This window comes from Homo sapiens, chromosome 7, assembly GCF_000001405.40.
Source record: "Homo sapiens chromosome 7, GRCh38.p14 Primary Assembly".
Classification (NCBI taxonomy): domain Eukaryota; kingdom Metazoa; phylum Chordata; class Mammalia; order Primates; family Hominidae; genus Homo; species Homo sapiens.
In genome coordinates, this window is record NC_000007.14 from 10,773,691 (window position 1) to 10,783,343 (window position 9,653).

The following is a 9,653-nucleotide window of genomic DNA, read 5'->3' on the forward strand; positions in this document are numbered from 1 at the left end:
CATATACTTAATTGTGGGATTTTAAATGATGTGTCTGCTTTTGATTTTCACGGTGACAACTCTTTACTAAAAAAAATATAAGTAGTGCTACCTAAAAACAGAAGATGCAATGTCTTCTTACTTCATAGAGGTATATACAGAAAAAGAATGATAAATCACTGTACTCTGTCATCTTTGTGATTTTATTTCATTCTGGGACATTCAATTTAACATAAACTTCTCAAAACTGCATAAGAATGAAACCCCCATTATACTGAGAAATACAAATTAAAATAGAATCTAAATGATTAGGCACTAAATGCATAAGATATTCTAGTAGATGTTACACTTTTTCAATCCAATTAGAAGGTGGTACTGCAAATTATTAATAAATGCTAGTCTATGAAAATCACTCTGTCTTAAACATACACACAGTCATTCAAACACAAATAGATGGTGGCTTAAAAAGAGGATAACTTAACTTGCAAAGTTGTTGCAAGGATTAAATTAGATAACACACTGCAAAGCACCTAGTTCATTATTAGGTAAATAATAGATTGCATTATTTATAAATTTCAGAGATAAGGACAAATATAAAGTGAAGAACTTGGAGTTTATAATATTTCATGGAAGACAGGAAAAAAAAGGAGAGGGGCAAAGAAATAGGGTGAGAAATATAATGAGTTAGAGAAAGAGCTCCATGTGGGAGAAGAGGACAAGAAGACTGGGTAGGGGCAGTGAATAATCTACTCCAATGGAAGCCCCATTTGAGCTCTTTCGACCAGAAACTTTTGCATCTGAGAGGTCCTATTGTTTGTACCAGTGATGCCTAGCAAACTTTTCTGACACTGCCCAAAACAGAACTCCTTGTCAAAGAAGTTGTATAAGCTTTCACAGAAGCAACACAGAAAATGGGTTGATATATTCAGCACTTCAGTGCATATTCTGATACCAGGCATCCTAAATGAATTCTAGCTATAGATAAGAGTCAGTGGTTCTGCAGGTCGGCTGTCTATGCATCATCTACATGCTATGCCTCACATGTCATAATGCACATGTGTTATGTCGTAGGTTCAGTTCTGTTCAATAAATGTACTAATTTAACTTTGTGATGAGGAGGTCTGCCTTGTGTTTTAGTTATTTCCTGAAGTCTGGACAAGGGCGGGAAATATACCACACTTGTATCCCATGGAATGAAACTTTGAAGAATTCACAAAAATCAGCAAAAGAAGTATTGCTACACAAGAAAATGTAGACAAAGCAGCAGAGGAGGATGCTAATTCACTAACTTGATTAGAAATTGCTAATAAATGTTTAGAAATCTATGTTCAGCAAATTAAGGTTAGGTACTTATCAGTTCAATTGGAAATTGAGGCAAAATTTGACTAAAAAGCCCTGTGTGTTCCTATTCACATCTAAACATTGAGAATAGTATTATACAATTCAAGTGCTATTACAAATATTTCAGGACAAAGATTAGCTAGGTTCTTTGACTATATTTGCCAATTTTTTTCAGATAAAGCTCATACTATGAAATTCTGTAATTGTTTGAGCTGATGTTAATGATAAACTTTATGTTATCAATAATATTAAATTTATTCTGCACCCCAAAAGTAAGGACTATGTTACTATAAGAAAAGAACATTCAAGCCAGGCACAGTGGCTCATGCCTATAATCCCACCACTTTTGGAGGCCGAGGCAGGTGGATCACCTGAGGTCAGGAATTTGAGACCAACCTGGCCAACATAGTGAAACCGTGTGCCTAATACAAATACAAAAATTAGCCAGGCATGGTGGCACAGGCCTGTAATCCTAGCTACTCTGGAGACTGAGACACGAGGATTGCTTGAACCTGCGAGGCGGAGGTTGCAGTGATCCAAGATCACGCCAATGCACTACAGCCTAGGCGACAGAGTAAAAGAACTTTCAGAAAACAAAAAAATGGCTCTTGGAGACTAAAAATGCAATAGCAGAAATCTAAAATTCTACATAAAGAATCTCTCAGAAGAAAAAAAACACAAAAATACAGAAGTGGAAACTATAACAGAAAACATAATTAAAGAAAAAATCCATATTAGATTATGATAGTAGGAGTTTCAGAGATATCACCAAATATGGACTAAATCATTCAAGAAACTTTTCATAACTGATAGACATGAGTTTCCAAATTGAAAAGGGCTAAGGGCTCAGAGTAATGGATAAAACGGATGGTGATGTACAATACGCTTAAATAACATTGGATACATATTTAAGCATTGCAAAAAACTCCAAGTGAGAAATCTTCAATAAGATGAAATCAATAGAATTTCTCATGATTTTCAACATATGAGAGATTATTTATACATCTGGAGAAGATTTTATGGTTGAATTGGTGATAAATACAAAAAAAAATAAGCATATGAAAGTCAAAATAATTATTAACTCCAGGAAAACCAAAGATCATATCCAAAAGAAAAATCAGAGTTTGCTATATGGGTCAGCTATAAATATCAATGACTCTGTCATTTAATGTAAACCCTAATAATTGATCTGAACACAACCAACATATACACAACAACTACACTGGAAAAGTACATGTATGTGCTAAGGTCAGTGGTGATCCTGTGAAAGAGAGGAACCTTCATTTTCCAAAGTTATCCATTATTTAACAAAATGACAGGAAACATTAAAAAATATTTTAAAAGTTGGAACTAGTTGCTTACAGAGAGCAGAAAATGAGGGAGGGTGTCAGTGCAGGAAGAGACTGTTGTCATTCATAACAGCTTAATTTGAGTTTAAAATTATTTTCACATATAACTTTTATAAAAACAAAAATGCCCTTAAAAATCAACCTACTTAGGCCCATTGCAGCCCCCATCAACTCAAACTCAAGACTTTTCATCAAGTAAGTTTGGATTCCTGCCTCCCTAATAGCCCTTATAAACTAAAAAGAGCTAGATGCTTTATTTAGCAAATGACAGTCCTTGATTATTCTGCCCTTTGTCTTGAGATTAAACCAAAACAAAACTTTAAAAGATAGTCTTTTAGCATTATATGTGTATATATGTATGTGTGTGTGGGGGGGGGGGGGGGTGTGTGTGTAATGGCCATTTCAAATATCCTACATGGATCAAAACAATTTACTATACTAACCAACAATGCTGGTACTTGGAAGGCTATAAAAAGTCACAATTGAAATATTCTTCCTGTCACCATTTATTAAATTGTATTTAGTGTTGATAGATCGCCATTGTTACCATTTAAAATATTAAGCAACTTTCAAACTATCTTTAAAGAACTATATATACACATAGTCTGAGCCAAACACAAAGTTAAATAAACATTAGCAACAAAGCTAAGCTGCATATAAACAAAAATTGAAATGTGATATAAAATATTAATTTAATGTTCCAAAGAACACAGGTTTGAGAGGATACATGACAGAAACTTCTATAGGCATTGCTTGTCTTGAAGGAGGAGAATTCAGAAATGAAAACTTTCTCATGGGTGTCAGCAACACTTTTTCTTTTCCTCTGTATTCTCATGATCATTTATAAAACATGTAGTTTAAAAAAAACATGTAGCTTAGTTTTACCTTATGAAATATGATTATTAAGGCCAAATCTTTAAGCTCTATGTATTTTTCCCATATATGTGTAGTTCAACCAAACCTTGGTTATCAGTTGGGGCCATGAAGACCCAAAGTAACTGTATGCCAGAAAGGTCCCCATTAACCACTTAAATACTGCAGTCCCTTAGGATCTTGAAGTCCAAAGTTGCAGCAAGGGTCAGATCTGGGAATTGAGCAAGGCTAAATGTTTACTTAAAAATTGAGATAACTCACTCTGATGGTAATTTCTTTTGCTGTGCAGAAGCTCCTTAGTTTAATTAGATCCCATTTGTCAATTTTGGCTTTTGTTGCCATTGCTTTTGGTGTTTTAGACATGAAGTCCTTGCCCATGCCTATGTCCTGAATGGTATTGCCTAGGTTTTCTTCTAGGGTTTTTATGGTTTTAGGTCTAACATTTAAGTCTTTAATCCACCTTGAATTAATTTTTGTATAAGGTATAAGGAAGGGATCCAGTTTCAGCTTTCTACATATGGCTAGCCAGTTTTCCCAGCACCATTTATTAAATAGAATACAGAATGGGAGAAAATTTTTGCAGTCTACTCATCTGACAAAGGGCTAATATCCAGAATCTAAAAAGAACTCAAACAAATTTACAAGAAAAAAACAAACAACCCCATCAACAAGCGGGCGAAGGATATGAACAGACACTTCTCAAAAGAAGACATTTATGCAGCCAACAGACACATGAAAAAATGCTCATCATCACTGGCCATCAGAGAAATGCAAATCAAAACCACAATGAGATAGCATCTCACACCAGTTAGAATGGCGATCATTAAAAAGTCAGGAAACAACAGGTGCTGGAGAGGATGTGGAGAAATAGGAACACTTTTACACTGTTGGTGGGACTGTAAACTAGTTCAACCATTGTGGAAGACAGTGTGGCGATTCTTCAAGGATCTAGAACTAGAAGTACCATTTGACCCAGCCATCCCATTACTGGGTATATACCCAAAGGATTATAAATCATGCTGCTATAAAGGCACATGCACACATATGTTTATTGCGGCACTATTCACAATAGCAAAGACTTGGAACCAACCCAAATGTCCATCAATGATAGACTGAATTAAGAAAATGTGGCACATATACACCATGGAATACTATGAGGCCATAAAAAAGGATGAGTTCATGTCCTTTGTAGGGACATGGATGAAGCTGGAAACCATTATTCTCAGCAAACTATCGCAAGAACAAAAAACCAAACACCATATGTTCTCACTCATAGGTGGGAATTGAACAATGAGAACACTTGGACACAGGAAGGGGAACATCACACACTGGGGCCTGTTGTGGGGTGGGGGAAAGGGGGAGGGAAAGCATTAGGAGATACACCTAATGTAAATGACGAGTTAATGGGTGCGGCACACCAATATGGCACATGCATAGATGTGTAACAAACCTGCACGTTGTGCACATGTACCCTAGAACTTAAAGTATAATAAAAAATAAATAAATAATTGAGATAACTCAACAATCTGGTTTTTACACTTTATAAATTATTTTCTATTTACTTTATCTGGGTAGTTGCCTATTACCTTCACTGCCACTGAAACCTGACCTTTCATTCCTAGGGGAAAAAAAGGTATTTTATGATATATAATATGGTCATATAACTATACTATAAGCATTCATTATTTATTATTATTCTGAGTCAGGAATTGTGGGAGACCCAAACATTTATAAAATACAGATCTCCCTACAGCTCACAATATGGAGGAGGTTAGGAGACAAATTTCTGGGAGTGAAGGCTGTAATTCAGAGCTGTACAAGAGAAAATCAAAGAAATCCTTAGATAATCTGTCCAGAAGTTTCAACCAATAATGAAATTCAGGACTTATGAACTGAACTTTTCTGGGACCTATATCTTAGATCACTTATACCATTTAAATACTTTTTTCTTGTAACAATGACATTTTTTGACTAGATATGTCTTAAGGCTCCTGGCAAAAGATACAGGATATTTCTGATAAGGTTTGGTTTCAGAACTGAACTCTCCTCCGTGGAGACATTTAGGAAAATACAGCCAGAGAATTAAAACTGCAGTGATCAAGGCTTTTATCACACACCCATTTGCTAGGCCCATTTCCCCCATAAAATCAAGTTTCGTTGGAACGCAGAGCCCCGCTCATTCAAACCTCCACGGTGAAGTTGAGAAGTTGCCACACATTGCTGGGCACTCCTCACTGGACACCTCTGCGGGGCACTCTACAGACCTCAGGGCCGCGATCACCAACCTGCAGCGTTTCCAGTTCCCTTCCTTAATGCCCACCCCGCTCCTTCCTGGGTCGCCACGGAGGAGTCCAGAATCTGTCCTCTGTCGAGGGTTCCACGGACTCCGATACCTGCTCCAGCACCCCCAGCACTTACCCCATCTTCACCTGAGCCTTCTCAACTACGCGGCCCACCTTCTTCCCTCGTTCTGACCCCACTACAACAAGGCCCATGGCGGTGCCACCTCACGAGGAGAAGGACGATCACCTTGAGACCCATCGGCCTCTGAGGCCACGGACCACGCTGCCCCATGCTCCAGACGGCCGCTGGCTCCTCCTCACACTCACTCACACTTCAACCCCTGGGAAGACTGGCCTGCGGACCTACCGGCCGTGTCTCAGTAGGACAGAAAAAGTCCAGACAGCAGGAGCGCGACCCTCACACCCTCACAGCTCCGCCGCGTTCACCACGTGGGCAAAGGGGCCGACGGGAAGACGCCCAGGGCACATGCGCAGTGAGGTCGGTGCCTGCTCTGTGGGCTGTGGCGCCCCTCCTCGACCCTCCTCGCTCTACCCCATCCAGCGCCGCGCAGTCCTCTGCCCTCTCCCAGGTTCCCACTGAAGACTTTGGAATGTGTCTTCTGTGGGCGGTTTCATATGCCTCCGGGACTCAAATACCACAAATGGTTTCCCCCTTCAAAACTCCATGTTCACTCGGCCCTCCTCCTTTCTATGGCCCTCCTTCCTACCCTGTCTGGGACTCCCACGACAGCAAGGCCATGGCTGCGTCGCCGCCTGTTAGGAGAAGGACAGGGACCTCAAGGCCCTTCCCCCTAGGAGGCCATAGACTGCGCCGCGGGCTTCTCCTCACGCTCTCTCACACTTCAACTCTGGGAGGACTTATCTGCGGACCTAGTGGCTGACTCCTAGTCAGCAACACAGAAAGAAGTCACGATGTCTCCTTGCACAGCTCTGCGGGGACAGAAGGCAGACAGCAAGGCACATGGACAACAAGGGACTTGGGCAGCAAGGGGCATGCACACTGAGTCAGGCACATGCAAGGCCAGCCGCGGTTTTCCCTCTCTCCTCTCACCCCGGACTCGCATCCCTAAGGTGTTTGTAGCAGAAAGAAAGGGACTAAGAGGCTTTGTTCTCTCTCTTACCCTACCATTCTCATGCATCCAGAAACACTGGGAACAGACAGTCCCCATGTCACCATTAGTGGAGGATGTGTCTGAGAAAGACCTTTTGTGACAGAAATAAATTATTTTAATATCTTTAAAAAAAGAAAAAAGAAAACCTGAAAAAAGAATATGACAAACTAAAATTAGATGAAAGGAAAGACTGTCATTTTTCCTCATGTTTTATAAAATAGGTATTGCTTTGATGTGTTTTGTGAAATTATACTTTGAAATATCATGCTATTTTCCTTAACTTTGTTTACCAAAAGAAGGGTAAAAATGATAATTGATAAAGATCTTTCTCTTCAATTTAAAAATCCTGAAATTTGTTATTCTAATAAATCTCTCCATCAAAATGAATATACATTACAATTTACAACTCTGAGAGCCTATTTTGGAAAGTAGGTTTGTCTGATACTATGATATTAAGACATTTGAAAGGGTTTTTTTTCCCTTTAATAACACATTATTTGGCATTATTTTCATTCTTTTTATGGGAAATTTGACCCAAATTTGCCTTCTTATTTGTATAAAATTCTTTTGATACCACACTTGAAAGAAAGAAGATAATGACAGAGTAAAGTAGACTCCCTTTTCCACAATAAACAAGCTACAGACTGACTCTTTTGATTATGTTTTATGATGAGCAAATCTTGATTATACAAAGGTTTTATCTAAATTACAGAATTCCAAAGCCATGACAAAAATTAAAAATAATTATTGTTTGCAAACGGACTCAAATAAGAAAATGTACAATATTATTCTTTAAATAAGAGCATAAAATTCTTTGAAGAAAAAAAATAAAAGGAAAGTAGCTAATTGGCCAGGATTTGGTAATAATGTTTCTTAAGACAACAAAGAGGAGATAATGATCCTCACACACAGAGCTCTAGGGATGCTTAAATCTTACAACTATTGAGAATGACATTTCTGCTTCACCTTGGACAGAGTTCTTAAAACAAAACATTTCCTTTTCATTTGTTAAGATGTGATACTGGTTATGTGGCCTTTAAATTGGCTTCATTAAAATCCGTTTGCCTTAAAGGTGATTTGGTATCAGAAAATCTATTCATATACCACACCATATTAATAAGCTAGAAGAGAATAAAATAGATCTATATCAATAGATGCCAAATAAGAGCTCTTGGAAAACTTCAACAGTCACAAGAGAAGAATGTCCACTTTTACAATTATTATTTAATAAATATTAATATTATTTATTATATTTTATATTAATATTAATATTTATTAAATAATTCACTCAGTGAAAACAAATAAGATATATATGTATATATATGAAAGGAAAAGGTAAAATTACCATTACTTGCAGGTGAACTTTTGTATACATAGACTCAAAATTATAATAAAAAATATAAACTATAATAAATAATGTAAAACCAATAAAATTCAATAATGTGGCTAGTTATAAAATTATTACTCAATATCAATCATTTTCCTATGTATAATCAATGGGAAGCTAGAAAATATAATTTAAAAACTGTATCTCATTTACAATAGCAAAAAAAAATTTTTAATATGAAGAACTTATGTAAAGAAAACATTTAAAATGTACTGAAATATAAAAGAATTATCTTAGTAATACTCAAAATTCTAAAGATTTAATATATTATGTAGAATTATTTTTTAACTTTACAAAATACTACTAAAGTTCATTTAGAAAAACAATGTGAGAATATCCAGAAAAATCTTGAATAAGAATATTAATGAGAGGTGACTAGTCCTACCAGATATTAACATATATTTTGAAGCTACAATTAATTAACTTACTTTAGTACTAGGGGAATATTTAACAGACAAAAAATATTGTATGAATATATATCTAAAATAATATGAGGCCGGGTGTGGTGGCTCATGACTGTAATCCCAGCCCTGTGTGAGGCTGAGGTGGGTGGATCACCTGAGGTCAGGAGTTAAAGACCAGCCTGGCCAACATGGCGAAACTCCTTCTCTATTAAGAATACAAAAATTAGCCGGGCATGATGGCGAGTGCCTGTAATCCCAGCTACTCAGAAGTCTGAGGCAGGAGAATTGCTTGAACCCAGGAGGCAGAGGTTGCAGTGAGCCGAGATCGTGCCACTGCACTGCAGCCTTGGGCGATGGAGTGAGACTCTGTCTCAATAAATAAATAAATAAATAAATAAAATAATATGAAAACATCATTGATATTAAAAATCATTTCTCAATGAGGAGGGAAAAATATTATTCAATAAATGACACTGAGACAACTGGTTAGCTCTTTCAAAAAACATAAATCTAGATTTCTTGTTTATTTCATTCACCAACATAATGTCCAAAATGCATCAAAGAGTAATAGAAATTTAAAAAGATTAAATGAAAAACATATTTGTAATTTCAGAGTTTAGCAGGTATTTGTTAATAGGAAACATAATTCAGAAGTCATGAGAAAGTGAATTAATAAATTTAGATAAATTCAACATTTGAGCATGGTGAAAAATATAAAGTCAGATGACAAATTAGGGAAATTTTTTAATACATATGAAAAACTATTATTCTTAACTAAAACAATCCATGAAAATGAATAATAAGCAATGAAGTAATAATAGAACTAAAAAAACAAAATCAGTGGGACAAAAAAGTAGAAAAGGCAATCCACAGATTAGGGGTAGGAAAAAAATCATAAAAAAAAT

The 9,653-nt window shown here is 36.6% G+C and overlaps 1 long non-coding RNA gene across 1 annotated transcript in view; it reads right to left on the bottom strand.

Annotated features, from left to right (window-relative positions):
* The window catches only part of MGC4859 (uncharacterized LOC79150), a 330,125-nt gene extending 323,871 nt beyond the window's left edge, over positions 1-6,254 (bottom strand). Inside the window, exon 1 of the long non-coding RNA NR_147499.1 lies at positions 6,192-6,254. This is a non-coding gene — a long non-coding RNA (uncharacterized LOC79150). The remainder of the gene's footprint in view (positions 1-6,191) is intronic.
* Between the last annotated feature and the right edge of the window lie 3,399 nt (positions 6,255-9,653).